The 21,504-nt window shown below is 38.3% G+C and overlaps 1 protein-coding gene and 1 pseudogene across 1 annotated transcript in view; one reads left to right on the top strand and one right to left on the bottom strand.

Moving 5' to 3' along the window:
- Positions 1-21,504, top strand: part of CNTNAP3B (contactin associated protein family member 3B) — a 238,891-nt gene that overhangs the window by 138,554 nt on the left and 78,833 nt on the right. Inside the window, exons 9-10 of the mRNA NM_001201380.3 lie at positions 4,562-4,705; positions 20,628-20,799. Of these exons, the coding sequence (NP_001188309.2) occupies positions 4,562-4,705; positions 20,628-20,799 (316 nt within the window). The remainder of the gene's footprint in view (positions 1-4,561; positions 4,706-20,627; positions 20,800-21,504) is intronic.
- On the bottom strand, positions 14,880-16,564 carry RBM17P3 (RNA binding motif protein 17 pseudogene 3; annotated as a pseudogene).

Here is a 21,504-nt window from a genome sequence, read left to right as displayed (position 1 = left end):
GGTTAGGGGCTCAAATCCCATGAAGCCAGACTGAGTTACAATAGATGGGAACTAATCTCACATGCAGTCAGATGTGGGCAAGTTTGTTAACTACAGAGCTGCTGGATTTTGATGATTGGATTTGCAGATGGGAGGAGCACTGGGTCCTAAATTGACATTGTGCCTAAATTGGCATCGGAACTAAATGGGGGCTTTAAAAAAAAAAAGCGTAATCTGAAAAAGAAAAAGGCACAGACGAAGAGGCTGACTTCTGCTTGAGACCAGGGGGATATCATACTCAAAAAAAGATTCCTTTTGGCTGTAAGAGGCACATGTGACTATACTGCTATTAAATGTTGTGGTACGAAAGCACGATTTCAAGACCCGTGAAGAAATTCGGAGGGCGGGGCCTTATCTCAGTACTTCTGGAACAATCAGGCAAGTCCTGGGTGTTAGAATCTGTGTCCACCTCACACAGGTGTTTCAGGGGAGATAAAACAGATATTCAGAGGAGACGTATATTTTTTATCTTTTAGAAATGCAAACCTAGTTTCCATTTCCTCACGAATAAGATTTTTTCCAAGAAAGGTTAAAATCGTGACCCACACACAGATACAGAATGAACACATGTCAGAGATTTTCTTTAACTCATTGATGAGAGAACCAGTGTTAGGGAAATAAGTACAGATAAAATTGCCTACCAACATAGTGAATCAGTTTCACAAGGTAGAAATGAAATAGTCTTATTATGGAATAAGTATTAAGCCAGACTGTGATGTACATTTCAGGCAATTGCTAATGTGATTGCAAAGATAAAGAAATTTCATCCATTTATATAGCCAGGCAGATACAACCCATTACATACATGTTCTAAAGATAAAGGACAACTTGTCCTCAAGTAAGAGGACTTGACAGCGCCTTTTGCTACACAGCCCATCTTACATTCACCTGGTGATTGGGGAGGCACACTCCTTTATGCAAAGGAAAACTAAACTCCATGTCTCTTTGACAAGTGGGTAGTTGCAACTTGGAGCCAGGCACCTACGTTAAACTCCCACGGAGACAAGGAGATAGGAGCACTGCCTTTCTTGGTGTTTACATTTCAAAGAAATGTCTCCAAGGTCCTCAAGAAAAACACTCCTGGAAACAAGAAAGAGGCTAAATAAGATTTTGTTTGTTTGTTTGTTTGTTTGAAGATTTTAAAGATGTACAATTACAAGTTTTCTGAAAGAAATGCTCTAAGGAAAAAAAGTGAATGAAAGTGTGTATCCCTTTTAGCACTAAGAAAGCTTTTGTTTGTTTTGGTTTGTGTTTACCCTTACACCAGTAAGGCCTGTTTAAAGAAGTACCACACATTTATAGTCAGAAAAGAGATGCCGACTAGCTAAACTTTTCAATATCCAAAGGGAAAGGCAAATCCCTTCTCTGTACACACTTTGCATCTCTATGGACAAGCATTATTTGCATTATTATCAATGTTCTGCAAGTTAACTTCTGTCACTACACAGCTGTAAAGTAACTAGTCCAAGATGATGGTTTACAATCCCGTAATATCAGCTGATCTTTCCATTGAAAAGATACCCAGTAATCTCCTTTGCCCATTTCAAAGACTGCCCTCAATTTTTTTCCTACAGTAGTTGGTTCAGTTTTACTGCTGATGAGTTGCATATATTCTGGATTCAATGAAGTGCTGAACAAGCACTTCATCCAGTTCTGGGTTGCACAATAACTAGAATTAAATATAATTAAAGTTCTTAAATCTCATCAGGATTTTGCTTTAGCTCATGGCTTTGTGAGTATGATATTTTGCCTCTGCAGTTAAAATGTTGTAGTTGTTAACAAGAGATCATCTTCATATCAAATGTGTTTAAAATAACATCTATGTTGTGGGCAATTAATTTAGTAACTTCTCATTGAAATATTTACAGATTCTACTGTATCTGATTTTCTTGTGCATAAACTATGGCCAAAGGCCAAATACAACCTAATAGAAAACAAAAAGAAAACAAATGTGGATGATAGACATGAAAACAGTTATACAAAGATCTGCTTTTATTTGTCAAAAGATATTCTTAAAGAGGGCACTTTTTGCAGTTATAAAAAGAACATGTCAAAGATTTTGTTTAACTCATTAGTTTATGAGGGAATCAGTAAGATGTTACTGCTGCAATGATTTTGTGTATAATGTAAAACTGGCTTATTCCATGGGATGGGGTAGAGGAACCAGGAAGAAGTTCAGTTGTATTTCTGCCAGACAAAATTCATTTGCATGTCTATGGACAATAATCATTTGCCTGCTTTCAATTTTCTACAATTCACAGGGTGGTAAAGAATTCAAAGAAGGGGCCAGGTGTGGTGGCTCACGCCTGTAATCCCAGCAATTTGGGAGGCCAAGGCATACAGATCACGAGGTCAGGAGATTGAGACCATCCTGGCTAACAACGGTGAAACCCCATCTCTACTAAAAATACAAAAAAATTAGCCAGGCGTGGTGGCGGGTGCCTGTAGTCCTAGCTACTCAGGAGGCTGAGGCAGGAGAATGGCTTGAACCCAGAAGGCGGAGCTTGCAGTGAACCGAGATGGCACCACTGCACTCCAGCCTGGGTGACAGAGCGAGACTCCATCTCAAAAAAAAAAAAAAAAAAAAAAAAAAAATTCAAAGAAGGTAAAAGGCACAGAAACCTGCAGAATCATATAATCCTCCAGATTGTGTTTAGACAATGCCTAGTTTTACATTGAAGACATCCAGAATCTTGGTTGATTTTAAAGAATAATTTATTTCCTTACACTTTATTACTACTTCTGTTTCTGTTTCATACATCACTGAAGGTTAAAAGGGAAAGCTAAAATATTAATGTTAATGTTTAATTTTTAAGAAGTACTACATTTGAAATGCTAATAATATACTAACTTCACATAAATGCATGTTAGGAAGAAAAATAAATGAAGCATAGAGTCATTTTAATAATTTACAGGTTTCCCAAGACTATCAAGTAAAATGTTAACTTTATAGGAAAATTTCTGTTAGTCTAAAGTTTATTATAATATATGTAACTTCTGAAATAGTTTCAATCTTGGCCTAATTTTAAACTTCAGTGCAAAGTTAATTTAATAGGCCTCATGAAGCTAATCTTATTTTTAGCCCATTTATTGGCATGTATCTTTGACATATTATCAGGTAAAAGAAAGCACGGAATACCTCTAGTGATTTTAAATACCTTAACATTTAAATTTACCATCAAAGACAATTCATTATGTTACCAAATTATTTGACAAGATTAATTTCATAATTACTACTAAGAATCATAATGTGGATGTGAGTGTAAATATATAAAAATATTGTACATATATAAAGTACAACTCCAGTTCTTTCCTAAGCATTTTTTATCAAATATTAAATAATCGCTTTTATTTTATTTTATTTTATCTTTTTGAGACAGCGTCTCACTCTGTCACCCAGACTGGAGTACAGTGGTGTGATCTCAGCATACTGCAACCTCCACCTCCCAGGTTCAAGTGATTCTTGTGCCTCAGCCTCCGAAGTGACTGGGACTATAGGCTAGTGCCACCATGCCCAGCTAATTTTTTGTTTTTTAGTAGAAATGTGGTTTCACCATGTTAGCCAGGCTGGTCTCGAACTCCCAACCTCAGGTGATCTGCCCGCCTCAGCCTCCCAAACTGCTGGGATTACAGGCATGAGCCACCATGCCCAGCGAATAATAACTTTTAAAAGACAGTATAATTATATCTATAATAATAATTTAATTCAGAAACACACGAATATATGTTAAAGATTTTAACTAATCAATGAAGAAACCAGTAAGATGTTACAATCAGTTCAGAGGATAATTCAAAGTACTACACATACAGGCAGATAAGAAATGCCAAAATGAATTACAGACAGATATGAAATGGTTCAGTAAGCAACTGCACCTCGCTAGGCACAAGTCATTTGTATTTCTATGGGTACAAGTCATTTTGCATTACTATCAGTTTTCTACAGTTTACAGGGCTGTAAAATAGCTCAGACAGTGAAAGCAGGGTTTACCTTAATTAATGGGTGCAGTAAGCCAGACATCCAGTGATCTTCCATTTCAAATCCTGTCACACCCCATAAGTATGTGCAATTTTGTGTCAACTTTTTCTAAAAAAACCTTTTCACAATCATTCTTGACATATTTTTTATCAACTCACTTTCTTGATTCTTGTAAAATGTTTTTGTTAGATTCAGTAAAGCAAGTAAGTTTTGCATTTGAAGATTAAACCAAACTGTGTTGTTTTTATCCCATTGTAAAGGCTTCTACTGTATATATTTGATAATTAAATTCTAGTTACTTTAAGCAAATTACCAGAATTTGTTACAGTGATTCTTCAGAAAGAGTAATATTTTTATTCATGTGTTATTTTCATAATAAATGAAATTTTTAAATTAAAGATAGGTGGTTAATGTTTTTTTCAGTGATACATGAACATGTAAATACCACTCTTCTCTGACTTATTCAGTGATCTGAATCAAATTGTTTTCAAGTGTTTACAGAGCTCATAATTTAGAGTTGTCTCTGACTGATTGTATTTCCTCCAGGTGCTGGATTAAACGATGGGCAGTGGCACTCTGTATCCTTCTCTGCCAAGTGGAGCCATATGAATGTGGTGGTGGATGATGACACAGCTGTTCAGCCCCTGGTGGCTGTGCTCATTGATTCAGGTGACACCTATTATTTTGGAGGTAAGAGAAGGCAACTGAATGACACTGGCAGTGGAACCACTTTTTATCTTTATTGCTTTGCATTTTGAGTCTCTAGTCAAATTTAAACCAAGTTGATACTAAGAAATAATTTATCTCTAGCCATGAAATTAATACCTTTTGAGTTTGTAAAAAACATGAAACATTTAATCAATTTTTCTTCCCAATACAAAAATAAGTATCTGCAGAAAGTTTACTTGCTGTTTAAATAACTTCATATTTTCATTTAACATTAAAAGAAAAATATATTTGAGCTACATGTAGTAAATAAGTGGAAACTTTCAAACAATATCATAGTCATATCTCTACAACAGATAAATCCATTTATACTTCTAACAGTTAGCTCATAAAAACAAAACAAATCGTACTGTCTGAAGTCATTGGCTTACATAAAATATTACTTATATATTTAAGTCCACATCTAAATCTATACTATTGAATCATTATTAGTACACAGCTCAGTTTATAGATAGATGGATAAATATTTTTTACATGGAGAAGGCATAATAGGAAATATCATACTGATTATGAAGTACTTTCAAAACATTGACAATGTAAACAAATATTAATTAATAGGAGACAAGCATATTAAATGAATCCAGTATAATTGGTGTTACACTGGTGCAAAGTATTGAATGTTTGCTTCCCCACCCCAGATTCATATGTTGAAATCCTGACCCCAAAGTCATGGTGTCAGGAGGCTTTGGAGGGTAATTAAGTCAGGAGGGTGGAGCCCTAATGAATGGAATTAGTGCCCTTATAAAAGAGGCCCAAGAGAACTCCCTTGCCTTTCCTGCCATGTGAAGTTATAAGGCGAAGACTGTGGTCTGTGAAGCAGACACTGCATCTGCTTTGCCTCAAACTCAGACTTAGACTTTCCAGCATCCAGACTGAGAGAAATAACTGTTTGTTGTATAAGCCACTCTGTTCATGGGGTTCTGTTAATAGCAGCCCAAACTGACTATGAGAACTCATACAGCTAAAGAAATGGAAACAAGTGGATCTTTTGATTATAAAGGAAGTTTGGATTTTTTTAAATTAAAAGAACCACTAGGAATAACAGCAAAACCCTGCTATGTATTCTAGAATGCTCCTGTGAATCCAAAGATTATGCTTTTATATCTGGAAACCACAGTTAAGAGAAACAATCATGTGAGAAAACTTATCACATGGGGGCATGGATGCCTGTACATTACAGCATTCTGTTATCATCCCATATCACCACATATATGATAAGAAAACTCACTCTCAAGTAAGAAAGTTTTCAACTAGGTACGAAATTCCATGCTGGACACAGATACAGAGAGCCACTTGCACTGTACCTAAACACTGAAGTGTTACTGAGGTAACTTAATTACTTGTAATTCTTACTGGAAAGGTAAATATATTCAGCCTTTCTTAGTAATAAAAATTATATGTAAACAGAAATATAGATCTAGTAATAGAAGACTTGTTATATACATGCAGTCCTATACATTGCATTTTACCTCATCAGTATTTGTGGTATTTCGCAAAGAATATATACTTTTCCAAATATACAGCCACAGACATTCAAAGACTTCACTGAGCTGTCCTCTGGCACACAGGTGTATTTAAATTGTTAAAGAAAATTAAAATGGCCTGAGGTATCTCTGACCAGACAAAGCCTTGTAAGTGGCCTTAACTTTGCTTGATTTACCAATATAAGCAAAACTTAACTTGAGCTATTTCTTGTAAATGGCTTTAAAAATAAAAAAAGTCAAACTTAAGGCTAACCAATCAGAAGCCAATTAACTTATATAACTAGAGACTTTCCAGCAGGATCAACCAAATAAGGCAATTGTATAACTACAACCAGTGAAAAATTTGCTACTATATTTACCTTACAGAAGCTGTCCCTTTTTGTTCCCTTGAAAGGGTCCCTGAACCAGTTCCCATTTGAAGCTGCTTCAACAGTGATTCATGAATCACTGTTAGCTCAAATAAACTTTTGTGCCTCCATTTACCTTTTATTAATGGATACATTTATATCTGTAGTTGGATGCTTTTTTCCTCTAAGCAGACACAAAGTAAACCTGAAGAGCTTAAGATTTTTATTTATTTATTTATTTTTATTTTTTGAGGCGGAGTCTCGCTGTGTCCCCCAGGCTGGAGTGCAGTGGCGCGATCTCGGCTCACTGCAAGCTCTGCACCGCCAGGTTCACGCCATTCTCCTGCCTCAGCCTCCTGAGTAGCTGGGACTACAGGCACCCACCATCACATCTGGCTAATTTTTTGTATTTTTGGTAGAGACGGGGTTTTCACCATGTTAGCCAGGATGGTCTCGATCTCCTGACCTTGTGATTCGACCGCCTCGGCCTCCCAAAGTTCTGGGATTACAGGCGTGAGCCACTGTGCCAGGCCAAGATTTTTAAAATTAGTTAATGCCTTGGTGTATCTTGAGTGGATGATAACATAGGAGTCCTCAGAAAAATGCAGCCATGCCCGCCAGCCTTTTCAGAAGAGCGAAGTTGGCTTAAGGAATCATCATCGGTCCAAGATTGTTAGTGATCTGAGAAATTTCATGTGCTGAGGATGATGCCAAATTAAGGGTTTCCAAGTATGAGTACCAGGATACCTCCTATACCTGCTCTCAGCCATATGTGGTATCGACAATTGCCTCTAACAAAATTTTTCCAAACCAAGTAGAAGAAAACAGTAAACGGAACAGAGATTTTTTTTTTATTAGGATGGGACTGAAATCTGTCCCTCCTTCAGGATGAGGGCTGTAATCTGTGTGACAGAAACAGATGACAGAGTTTGATCCACACTACTTTGTTTTCAGAATTGCTAGCCCAGATTGAATAGGTCCAGAAAGAAACTAATGAAATAAGCAATAGAAAATCTCTAACATTATAGTCTTTGACAATGTATATTCATATATAATTCCCATTTCCTACAGAAAATACGTGATGCTTCTCTTTTTTTTTTAAACTTATTTTAGGTTCAGAGGTATACATGTGCAGGTTTGTTATATAGGTAAATTGCATGTAATGGGGGCTTGGGGTACAGATTATTCCATCACCCAGGTAATGAGCATAGTACCTAGTAGGTAGTTTTTCGATCTTCACCCTCCTCCCACCCTCCACCCTCAAGTAGGCTGTGGTGTCTATTGTTCCCTTCTTTGTGTCCATGGGTACTCAATACTAAGCTCCCACTCATAAGTCAGAATACATGGTATTTGGTTTTCTGTTCCTGTGTTAGTTCACTTTGGATAATGGCCTCCAGCTCCATCCATGTTGCTACAAAGGACATTATCTCATTTTTTTTATGGCTACATAGTATTCCATGGTATATATGTACATTTTCTTTACGCTACCGTTGATGGGTATTTAGGTTGATTCTATGTCATTGCTATTGTGAATGAACATGCACGTCTGTGTGTCTTTATGGTAGAAAGATTATTATTCCTTTGGGTGTGTACTCAATGGGGTTGCTGGGTCGAGTGGCAGCTCTGCTTTAAGTTCTTTGAGAAATCACGAAACTGCTTGCTGCAATGGCTGAACTAATGTATAATTCCCCCAGCAGTGTATAAGCACTCCCTTTTCTCCACAGCTTTACCAGCACCTGTTATTTTTCGCCTTTTAAATAATAGCAATTCTGACTGGTGTGAGATGGTATCTCATTGTGGTTTTGATATGCATTTATCTCATGACTAGTGATGCTGAGGAGTTTTTCTTATGCTTGTTGGCCACATGTATGTCTTCTTTTGAAAAGTGTCTGTTCACGTCCTTTGCCCGTTTTTTAATGGGGTAGGTTTTTTTTTCTTTCTTGTTAAGTTCCTTATAGATTCCAGACATTAGACCTTTGTCAGATGCATAATTTGTGAATATTTTCTTCCAGTAGGTTGTCTGTTTACTCTGTGGATAGTTTCTTTTGCTGTGCAGAAACCCTTTAGTTTAATTAGGTCCCATTTGTCAACTTTTGTTTTTGTTGCAATTGCTTTCGGTGTCTTTGTCATGAAATTTTTGCCATGTCCTGTGTCCAAAATGGCATTTCCTATATTTCCTAGGTTATCTTCCAGGATTTTTGTAGTTATAGGCTTTACTTTTTTTTTTTTTTTTTTTTGAGACTTTAGAGTCAGTCTCACCTGTTGCCCAGGCTGGAGTGCAATGACACGATACAGCCTCAACCTCCCAGGCTTAAGAGGTTCCCCCGCCTCAGCCTCCTGATTAGCCTGGACTACAGGCACGTGCCACCACATTCAGCTAATTTATTATTATTATTATTATTATTATTGTTTGTAGAGACGAGGTCTCGTTATTTGCCCAGGCTTGTCTCAAACTCCGAGGTTCAAGCTATCCTCCCACCTCACCCTCCCAAAGTGTTGGGATTATAGGCGTGAGCCACTGCACCTGACAGGTTTTACATTTTATTCTTTAATCCATCTTGAGTTGATTTTTGTATATGGTGTAAGGAAGGGGTCTAGGAACTGCTTATGGTTAGCCAGTTATCCCAGCACCATTTATTGAATAGGGAGTCCTTTCCCTACTGCATGTTTTTGTCGACTTTGTTGAAGATCAAATGGTTGTAAGTGTGTGGCATTATTTCTGGGCGCTCTATTCTGTTCCATTGGTCTGTGTATCTGTTTTTGTACCAGTACTATGCTATTTTGGTTACTATAGCCTTGTAGTAGAGGTTGAAGTTGGCTAACGAAATGCCTCCAGATTTGTTCTTTTTGCCTTGGATTCCCTTGGCTATTCAGGCTCTTTTTTGGTTCTATATTAATTTTAAAATAGTTTTTACTGGTTCTTTGAAGAATGCCATTGGTGATTTGATAGGAATAGCATTGAATCTATAAATTGCTTTGGGCAGTATGGCCCAATATGGTTAAAAACCATATTTATTATTCCTATCCATGATTATGGAATGTTTTTCCATTTGTATGTCATCTGTGATTTCTTTGAGCAGTGTTTTGTAATTCTTCTTGTAGAGATCATTCATCTCCCTGGTTAGCTGTATTTCTAGGTAGTTTATTCTTTTTGTGGTCATTGCGAATAGGATTGCATTCTTGATTTGGCTCTCAGCTTGCATGTTGTTGGTATATAGGAATGCTACTAATTTTTGTACATTAATTTTGTATCCTGAAACTTTGCTGAGATTATCAGATCGAGAAGCTTTTGGGCAGAGACGATGGGGTTTTGTAGGTACAGAATCATATCATCTGCAAACAGAGACAGTTTGACCTCTTTTTCTCCTGTTTAGATGCCTTTTGTTTCTCTCTCTTGCCTGATTGCTCTGGCGAGGACATCCAGTACTATGTTGGGTAGGAATAATGAGAGACGGTATCCCTGTCTTGTCCCAGTTTTCAAGGGGAATGCTTCACATCTTTTGCCCATTCAGTATGATGCTGGCTGTGGGTTTGTCATAGGTGGCTCTTACTATGTTGAAGTATGTTCCTCCAATGCCTCATTTGTTGAGGGTTTTTAACATGAAGGGATGTTGAGAAAATACCTGATGCTTCTCTAGAGACAAATATATGAAAGCAAACAACATTTCATGAAGGAATGAGGAATATTTTGTGGCAGCAAGAATGAGAATGACTCTCCAAGATGCCCTGGAAACTGAATATGTTACATCACATAAGGGATTTTGCAGATGTAATTAAGGTTGCAGACCTTAGGAGATGATCGTGATTCATGCAGTGGGCTCCATGTAATCACATGAGCACTTAAGAGATTTAACTCTGGTTGGAGGCAGAAGAGACACAGAAGAGAGGTGTGGGTGAGGGGAAGCCAGAGAAACTAGAAGCAGGAGAATGTCTCTCTGCACCATTGCTGGTTTAGAAAATAAACTGGGCACTATGAAGAGCAACGCAGGCAGCCTGACATTGCTGAGAGGCCCCAACTACCAGCCAGTGATGAATTGGGACCTCACTCCTACAACTACAAGAAGTTGAATTCTGCTCTAACCTGTATGTGCTTGGACACACATTCTGCCCTAGGGCCTTCATAAGGAGCCCAAGAGCACCTTGATTTTGTCCTTGTAAGACTATAAGCAGAGTCATCAGTCCAGCCCTCCCACACTTCTAAAGTGAGAGATAATAAAGAGAATGTTTTAGTAATTTGTTACAGTGATGATTAAAAGCTGATACACATTCCAACCTCCATCAGATCCATTTACAGACATTCCCATTCAGTTCTAAACCCTTGGACAATGGCCAAAAAAAAAAAAAAAAAAAAAAAAAGGTTTCCTCAAACACACCCTGAGAATATACTGAAAAAGATTACATATATATATATATATCTTAGGTGGTGGCCCACGCCTGTAATCCCAGCAATCTGGGAGGCTGAGGCCGGCGGATCACCTGAGATCAGGAGTTGAAGACGAGCCTGGTTAAAATGGTGAAACCCTGTATCTACAAAAATACACACACAAAAAAAATTTAGCCGGGCATGATGGCAGGTGCCTGTAATCCCAGCTACTTGGGAGGCTGAGGCAGGATAATCACTTGAAAAAAAAAATATATATATATATAAAATATTTTTTAAATATATATATGACCAAAGAGAATAGTTTCAACAGAAAGTCAAAATAGCCAACACAGTTTCTGTGTTTTGTTTTGTTTGGATTGTGTATGGCCTTCGAGTGAAGTAACATACATGATAATGAACCATATAGGGACACAGTGACAGAAATGGGAAGGCTGATCCATGATCATATATGCATACATAGATACACTATGGATTCCAAAGTCCCCTTTGACCTGAAAGTGTGAGAAGAGCCCATAACCCATTTGAAACAGATACGCAGCAACCACAACCCAAATTGTATATGCATAAGTAAAGTTGTCCTTATTTCAGAGATGATATTATGGATTGAATTGTTTTCCCTCAAATTCATATGAACTCCAGAATGTGACCTTGTTTGGAGATAAGATCTTTGCAGAGGTAATCAAGTTAAAATGAGGTCATTAAGGTGAGCTCCAATCCAATATGACCAGTGTCCTTATGAAAAATGGAAATGGAGGTGCAGAGACACACAGAGAGGGAAGACGCTGGGACAACATGCAGGAACAACGCCTCAGGAAGACAGAGGCCTAGACTGTTACACCTGCAAGGCCAGGGCTGTTTACTGGGTTCCTCCCTGACCCCACATCCCACCTGGGGATGAACCCGACCCAGACCTTACCACCCACTGCTGCTACACTGCCATAAATCCCTTTTTCAAAAAAATTAAAATATTTATTTGACAAATAAAAATTCTATATATTTAAGGTATACTATGTGACGATTTGATATAGGTATACACTGTGTTCTGATTACCACAGTCAAGTTGATTAACACATCCATCACATCACACATAGTTACCATGTTGATGGCAGAGGGGAGTGAAGTCATTGAAAATCTGCTCTCTTACCAAATTCCAGGTAAATAACACAGTATCATTATGTATCACCATGCTGGATCATCATGCTGGATCCCTTTTGTTTCATGGGGTTGTATCACCATGAAACAGTATCACCATGCTGGATCCCTTTTGTTTCATGGGGTTGTTGAAAAAAGACTACAAATTAAGGACTGAAATGCATGTCTTCCAGATAGGCCTAAATAAAAGATCACACTCAGGAACCGATTTTAAATAGACCACCCTTTATGAAGCTTCCCTTCATCATTGTGCCCAACGGAATTGTAACAGTGTGAAATGAGTGCCACTACCTTTTCCACTGCTTTATGTGCTGGTTTTATTGCACCATACAGGTATCCCTAGAGCCTCGGCTCCTCTGGAGCATCTTATTGATTTCCCACTGCCGCATGAAGAAAGGCCATGCTTTGCCCAAAGTGACTAATAGTTTTACTCAGTCGGTTATTTCAACTTATTTTTATTGCCCAGTAATGATGCAGTGAAACATTTTACCAAGTCAGGGAGCACATCAGCCTTTCCTAGACAATAATAAACAGAATATTTGCCAGCTCAGTCAATGATTGAGTACAGCCAAGAGACACTGCAGCCTAAGAGAGGGCAGTCAGAGTGGGGAGGTCACAGAAGGGTGCAATAAATCTTCTGCCCAGGGATGTTTACTCAGAAAGTCCTTGGTCATTAGAAATGTCATTTAACTCTGTAAATAATAAGATACATTTGCTAATCAATGCTTGAGGTGCTTCTTGAGAGTATTAGTATAGTTTTGCATTTTACTGTTTTTTTTTTCCAGAATCCTTTTAAAATTATGTTGGAGACAGCACAATATGAAAGTAAAATTCGGCCAGGCACAGTGGCTCACGCCTGTAATCCCAGCACTTTGGGAGGCCTAGGCAGGTGGATCACAAGGTCAGGAGATCGAGACCATCCTGGCTAACACGGTGAAACCCCGTCTCTACTAAAAATACAAAAAAAAAAAAAAAAAATTAGCTGGGCATGGTGGTGGGCGCCTGTAGTCCCAGCTTCCCAGGAGGCTGAGGCAGGAGAATGGCATGAACCTGGGAGGCAGAGCTTATACAGTGAGCTGAGACTGCGCCACTGCACTCCAGCCTGGGTGACAGAGTGAGACGCCGTCTCAAAAAAAAAAAAAAAGGTAAAATTCATCCCTAAAATTGGCTGTCAGCATGGAAATTATAAAACTCATTTTCTAAACTCTAACAGTCCTTCAGAGCAAACTTTCCAAGAGCAACTGTGAAAACAGACAATGTCAATCTGCAAAGTTTCTGATTGTTTTCTTTCCTCATATTCCGAGGTGTGCATATGTGCCTCAAATTGTATTAAAACATTTGCTATAGATGACACATTTTATAACAAAAAACAAATAAGCCAATATATCCAAGACCTATCATTTCAAAGGTAAAATATTTAGGAAGCACTAAAAGGGATAAGAATGAAAGTACTATTCATTTTTTTAAGTGATACTAAATAAAGTTGATTACAGAAAATGATTTGTCAAAGTATAAATATAGTATCACCTTTAGGGTTTAAATTCTACAGGTGAGATTATTCAAGAGCCCATTTCCATAAATATATACATGCTAATGTGAGAAATGCTTTTGAGTTATTTTTATGCATATCATAATTTTATTCATTTTTACTGTGAAATAGATCATATATGTACAGTTAAAAATATTGCTAATTTTTCAAAAGAATGTATATATTGTTACATGAATATACCACATTTTATCAGTTCTACTGTCCCATTTTGCTATTGTTAGGCAATTTTCATTTTTGCTTTTAGATTTGCTTTATAAAATTTAGGGGGGTGGTGTTTCGTTGTTTTGCCTTTTTTTTAGACAGGGAGTCACTCTGTTGCCCAGGCTGGAGTGCAATGGAGCAATCACAGCTCACTGCAGCCTCTGCCTCTCCAAGCTCAAGCACTTCTTCCACCTCAGCCTCTGGAGTAGCTGGGACTGCAGGCCTGCACCACCACACCCAGCTAATTTTTGTTGTTGTTGTTTTTCTTCGTATTTTGTAGAGACAGAGTTTTGCCACGTTGTTCAGGTTGGTCTGCGGTGATCCATCCACCTCAGCCTCCCAAAGTGCCAGGATTACAGGCATGAGCCACCATGCCCAGCCTAAAATTTAGTTTTTAAAATATTCTTAACATACCTAGTTTTTCCAGTGAATTTTGCATTCCTTGTGTGTGCTTTTGTAACTTTATTTACCCATCTGTATAGTAAACTTCGGGAAACACCAGCTCTAACCACCATGTTTAACAGCATAAGCTGGTTGTTAAATTTTACTGATGTATATAAACCCAAAATAGATCATTTCTTCACATAGAAACAGCCTTTGGTTCCGCTAGTATTCATTACTCATTTTAGTAATTTAAAGACCACATGACCCAAATTCTTCTTGAATGCTGTGCAGTGCACTGAAAGAGACTAATAAGCCCTTTTCTGTTTTCTAAGCAAATTTACTTCTTGGGATATTTCTGTTCATACGGTTTCCTATGACACATAGCATCACTAAGAGTCAAATAAGTGAAACTGAAAACATTAAAATTAATCCTGTAATCCAGTTTTAATAATGAGTTCATTTCATTATGTTTCTTTTTCCTTTCCATTTGTTTTATACTGGCCTGGAGAAAACAGGCTTGATGGATAAAATCCACAGTATTTTCTTCCTAACTAGCTTATATATTTAGAATGGCCTGAATATGTACAGCTGCAGACACTAACTTCATTCCTACAGTATAATATCTACCAATGATTGAAACTAGTCAGCTGCACGTTTTATTTATTTATTAAAAAGGATTTGGATTTTTATACAATATTTAAAAACCACAAAATGAAAAGGGATCAATCAACGTATATCTTGGAGGTCCTTCCAAGAGTCTCAGTATCTAACAGCCATGGAGGCTGTGACCTTTTTCCTTCTTTTCTCAGCCTGCTTGTCATTTAAGGGTCACCAGAGATGACTCATGCTCTAGTTCTTAAAATCAAACTTGTTCCACCAAATCCAAGATGCTGAATTTGTACAAATGTAAAAACATCCTCTTGCCACCTGTCCACCAAAATACCTTCTATTCAAGTGAACAACAGCTTTAATTGCTGACTCAACTCTCAAATTCTAAAAAGGTCTGTGCTTCATCATCAGGGACACCAAGAATTTCACATATCACACATTTTCTAACTTTGCCATATTTTTCATGGCAAAATTGGGAAATACCATGGACTTTATCCATCAAGCCTGTTTTCTCTGAGCCAATATAAATTGACAATGGAAAAGAAAAAGAAACATAACAGAATGAACTCATTATGAAAACTAGATTAACTATACTCTTTTCAGTTTCACTTATTTTATCCTTAATGATGCTATGTCTCATAGGAAACCATATCAACTGAAAAATATGTCATCACACATTCTTCTCTGGTTTCAACTTCCAAGTCTTCTTCCACCTCCCCTTCACCAACCATGTTCCTTAGTAGGACCACCTTAGTAGGACTCAAGTATTTCAGTCAGTGGATTTGTACCTGACCTTTCAATGCATCTTTCTCTGCGGCGTCGCCCACGATGATCTTGCCGCCTGATTTGCTAGTCTTCCCCACCGGAAAGGCGTCTCGAAGCCCCTGCAGGTGCTCCCCGAGGCCCCAGCCTTCCCGGAAGCCGCGCTTCTGCATGATGTTGTGCACCACCGTTCCCACCACGTTAGTGAGGAAGGAGCTGCTAGGACGGTTTGGAGATCTCAGTCTGTCCTGTTCCTCCTTCACTGGGGGAGGAATGGCTGCTTTGGAAGACCGTGACTGAGGTCTTGAATCCTCTTCATAAGGAAAATCTCGGGGTGACTCTTGGTCTTTCTCTACCAGAGAAGTGGGAGGGGCAATGGCAGCTCCACCCTACTACTTTTCCTCCTCTCTCCCTCCTAATCTTCCCCTTCATCAGAATCTGGATTTGGTCGCCTTGATCAGAACTCCCCTAATTTCTTGCCTGTCTTCAGGCCTCTTTTCCCTTTCTTCTATTTCCTTTCATATTTCTAGCTCCTGCTGTGTCTGTCGTTCCTCTCTTTGGCACTTCACTACTTTCTCATAATCATAAGGGAACATAGGATCATATTCGTCAGCTAAGGGAATCAGAACGTCCCCTGCAAAAACCCACTGGGAGCAGGATCCTTCAGCCCACCTGCTGCATGCCGTGGTGTGTCCCCAATTTGCAGGTCATCTGAGGAGCCGCCTGGCCTTAGGTCAATGACTGGCAAGAGCTGCACTGTTTCTAACTTTGGCTCTTTCCCTGAGTGAGAGCTGCCTTCCTCACCTGAAGCTGAGACTGCAGAAGTTTGACGTTTTGGAACCAGCCTTCTGCTTTTGAGTCACTGGTCTCCACTCTCAGGCCATCGTATGGGGGCATCTTTTTTTTTTTTTCAATTTAATGTTGCCCTGCTGACTCTACCCATGGGTAGCCAGGTTAATATGAAAAAATGAAGAAGAAGAAAAACCCACCAATTTCCTGATGCCAGATAAATGGAAAATGTTATTTGCACCAAAGAAACCTTGAGAGACTTGGAACAAATCACTGGTGGATGTGGGTTTCTGGATCTCACTAGATTTATTTTAATAGAAAGTTTAGGCCAGACGCGGTGGCTCTCACCTGTAATCCCAGCACTTTGAGAGGCTGAGGTGGGTGGATCATCTGAGGTTAGTAATTCAAGACCAGCCTGGCCAACATGGTGCAACCTTGTCTCTACTAAAAATACAAAGATTAGCTGGGCATGGTGGCGGGAGCCTGTAGTCCCAGCTACTGGGTAGGCTGAGGCAGGAGAATTCCTTGAACCTGGAAGGCAAAGGTTGCAGTGAACCGAGATGGTGCCACTGCACTCCAGCCTGGCAACAGAGCGAGACTCTGTCAAGAAAGAGAGAGAGAGAGAAAGAAAGAGAAAGTCTAATTTGCAGATGCAGACCTATCTTCTATACTGTCATTTGTCCATTCTTTTTTTTCTGGTCTGTGATTTCATCTTTTTGAAGTGTTTTTCAAGCAGCACTCTGTACGGTTGCAGGTTGTGCATATAGCCTGCAGTTTTTTGCATTCATGCCTGAAATAGAGATTGACTGAAGGTCAAATTCTTTTAAACTTACCTTTATGGAATCTTTCTGCTATTCAATGCCATGCCTCCTTCCATGATATTGAGAATACAAAATTGACTGTTGTGTCGCCAGTCCTCACATCCTTCTTGTAGGAATCTGCTAGACCAAGAACTTGTGGCAACACTGCATTGAAGTCTGTCACTGCAATAACACACAGTGACAATTTTCTTGCCAACCTCATATGCTTACACAAGTGAAAATAACCGGGCTAAAATTTTCATGGGTCTTAATATCTTTATTTGTTTGATTTCATATCCATGCAGTACTTTATGATTAGAATTTGTCCTGAAAGTTTCATAACTTTTTGCGGGACACCTGGATTTATTTTAGTTTTTTTTTTTCTAACAGAGTTATCGAATTCATTTTCTTTTAAGAATAACCTGGCTGGGCGCTGTGGCTTATGCCTGTAATCCCAGCATTTTGGGAGGCTGAGGCAGGTGGATCACGAGGTCAGGAGATCAAAACCATCCTGGCTAATATGGTGAAACCCCGTCTCTACTGAAAAAAAATACAAAAAAAAAAAATTAGCAGGGCATGGTGGTGCGTGTCTGTAGTCCCAGCCACTCGGGAGGCTGAGGCAGGAGAATGCTGTGAACCTGGGTGGTGGAGCTTGCAGTGAGCAGAGATCACACCACTGCACTGCAGCCTGGGTGACAGCATGAGACTCAGGTCTCAAAAAAAAAAAAAAAAAAGATAACCTAAGTTATGTGTCAGGAAACACCACATGGTGAAAGAAAGATTAGCAGAACTGTTGATATTCCTATAATTCATTACTGGAAAATATTTATTGAATTAATAATCCTCTTAATTCTTAATGTGTTTATTTCTTAATGATTAGTGAGATGCAGTAGAATTATACAAAGTTCACTCTCTATCCCATTCTTCAGAAGGTTCTGCTGTACCATTTAAACTTTTATTTCTTTTGTAAATATAAAAATATAAAAGATTTTAGTCTTCAAACTTTTAAACAAATATGGTGTTAAATGTTAAACTTCCAAGTGTCTGTGAGGTTATGTATAGTTTCGATAAGCTAAAAAGAAGCCTTAATATGAGGGAGGCTTTTACTTTAGGGATCTAAAGCAGAAAGTATTAAAGTTAAAGAGATAAAGCTTCAGTTATTAAAATGGAAATCTAAACACAACATTTAATTTTTATGGAACTTTTAGGGAGGAAATAAGAGTACAGGCATTGAGAGGTGCTTCATTTATTCCAGTAAGAGGAATCTTCATTGACTATTTTTTGAAATTGTGCTAGTGATTAACAATATAAGGTCAAAGAGAGGTCAATGAAAAACACATAAGTACAAATTCTATACTTCATTTTTTTCATTTTAATGAACACTGTAAAGAAAACTCAATCCTCTAGTGATAAATATTGATGTATATTTACTATAATCTTTGGAGAAAAGGGTATTTGCATGGACTGAAAGTGTCATGCCAAATATTAGGTTTAATACCTAATATTTGAATGATTGGGAAAAGAAAATAAGAAATTATATCTCACAAGTTTGAAAGAGACAATACTTACAGAATCAATATAAGCAGGCTTCTTTTTTAAAATAAGGCAAAGGATAAAATTTTTAAAAGCTATATAATTTCATAATATACAATTAAATTAATTACTAATTCAATTTCTCTTGTCATTGGCATTACACCATTATGAAATGAGGTTCCTCTTTCATATTTGTATGTTAAAATTAAGTATTCATTTAGATCAGAGGTAGGCAAATCACGGTCCATGGCATATTATATAAGCCCAAATGAATAATTGCTTTGTATTTTTATTTTTATTTTTATTTTATTTGAGATGAAGTCTCGCTCTGTTGCCCAGGCTGGAGTGCAGTGGCACCATCTCGGCTCACTGCAAGCTCCGCCTGCTGGGTTCACGCCATTCTCCTGCCTCAGCTTCCCGAGTAACTGGGACTACAGGCACCCGCCACCACGCCCAGCTAATTTTTTTTTGTATTTTTAGTAGAGACGGGGTTTCACCGAATTAGCCAGGATGGTCTCGATCTCCTGACCTCATGATCCGCCCGCCTTGGCCTCCCAAAGTGCTGGGTTTACAGGCGTGAGCCACCGCGCCCAGCCCTGCTTTGTATTTTTAAAGGGTTATAACAAGAAGGACATGCAACAGAGACCAGGTGTGACCCACAAAACCAAAAGTGTTTACTATCTGCGTTTTACAGAAAACCTTTGCAGACTCCTGACGTAGACAAATGCCTTATGATTTTATTCTGAATTAATATGACTCTTTCTACAAACAGTTGTCTTTAAATAATAAGATTTTACAATTATTGTGTTTTCTTTAACTAGAGTGTGTACTTTCATCCTTTTCCTTACTTTTCAAACTTAGAGTTCCATTATTAGGTTATATATTGTAACTCAAGAGGGTGGGAGTAAGTTCAAGACACTACTTTCCTATATGCTTGGACTGGTGTGGAGTAATACTGCTTACGTCAAAGTCAGGCACTCACCACTGCTTCTTATAAGTACTCTTCTTGTTTCACAAAACAAGCCCACATAGTAAAGGGAAGTGATGTCATAAGCATTGCCATTTGTAATTTAGGTGAAATTAGCTGACGATTGTAGTGAAATTTTTAATATTTAACTTCTAATATTGGAAATAATCAAATGTCTATTTTATCTCTTTCTATTCATAGAACATTCTGGACTGCAAATTTTTATCCTTATGTACCCTAACAGTGTGTTATGTCCTGTTACTTTTTGTGTTGTTGTTAACATTAGAATTTAATCTTTAGTTATATATTTGACTAAAGTACCTAATACCAAAGAAAGTGTTACTAGAAAAGCAAATCTAGGTATTTCCACCCAGTCAGTATAAAAAAATACGTTTTTAAATACTCCCAAATATACATACATCGCAACGCACAAAAACAGCTATAGGGTAGATATTTAACATATTTTAGATAAATGGTAGTATACAATTATATTTTCAGGTAGCATTTTTCACACTTCACAGCATATCCTAAATAAAATTTGGGCTATGATTTCATTTATTTTAATTTAACCTCCACTTTAATTTTTTTCACTTATACTACATAATGCTAAAATGCATGCTTATTTCTTAGATGAGATTTCACAAAAGAAGCCAAACCTCTTTTCACTTGGTTGGGAAATAATTCCTGTTATAGGAATTTTAGATCTGAATTTTCCCCCGCAATTTCTTATTCTGAATTCCAGGTATTATCTTAAATTTGATCAGTTCTAACCTTGCCCCTTCTCACCTCTCTAATGAATGGTGAAGCTCATCGCATCATACCGATGTCCATAAACAAGCGGGAGCAGCAGTCTTCATATAGTAAATACTGTGGAATAGTTTTGTCATAGTTGTTGCTTTTGTCCTATTTTTGTCTTCATATTCAGGCTGCCTGGGCAACAGCTCTGGCTCTGGATGTAAAAGCCCCCTGGGAGGGTTTCAGGGCTGCCTAAGGCTCATCACCATTGGTGACAAAGCGGTGGATCCCATCTTAGTACAGCAGGGGGCGCTGGGGAGTTTCAGGGACCTCCAGATAGACTCCTGCGGCATCACAGACAGGTAAGGGCCATCCTAGGTCACTTTAGCTTGCCTGTTTTCAAAGTTGAAGAAAGCAAATGTAGAGAGCTGGAAAAAGGCATTCCGTTCTCTTTTTCGTTGTTGTTATCTTTCGAGAGGGAATGAAATAGTCATAATTACTATGAGGATTAGAAAACTTCATCTTGGCCGGGCGTGGTGGCTCACACCTGTAATGCGGCTGAGGCTGGCGGATCACGAGATCAGGAGATCAACTTCATCCTGGCTAACATGGTGAAACCCCGTCTCTACTAAAAATACAGAAAAAAAAAAATTAGCCAGGCGTGGTGGCAGGCGCCTGTAGTCCCAGCTACTGGGGAGGCTGAGGCAGGAGAATGGCATGAACCCGGGAGGTGGAGCTTGCAGTGAGCAGAGATCGCGCCACTGCACTCCAGCCTGGGCGACAGAGCGAGACTCGGTCTCAAAACAAAAACAAAAACTGCATCTCTAATGGAATAAATAGCATTTTTTAAATGATAGTATTTTATTAGAAGATATACACCTTATGAATTTTACCTTAATATGATCCCGAGTTGCTCAGCTAATAGTTATAAAGCTCGCTTTTGCAACCACACACCCATCAGTTGGATGATATTTTTCCAGGCAGAGGAATTTGCCAGGTTACTATTCATCAGCCACCCAACCCCACATGTTCTGCAGAGAAAATAAAAAGTAATTTCTGCTAGAAAA

The sequence above is a fragment of the Homo sapiens genome, chromosome 9 (genome assembly GCF_000001405.40).
Source record: "Homo sapiens chromosome 9, GRCh38.p14 Primary Assembly".
Lineage (NCBI taxonomy): Eukaryota > Metazoa > Chordata > Mammalia > Primates > Hominidae > Homo > Homo sapiens.
The sequence above is the reverse complement of the archived record's forward strand: the minus strand, read 5'-3'. Positions and strand labels throughout refer to the sequence as shown.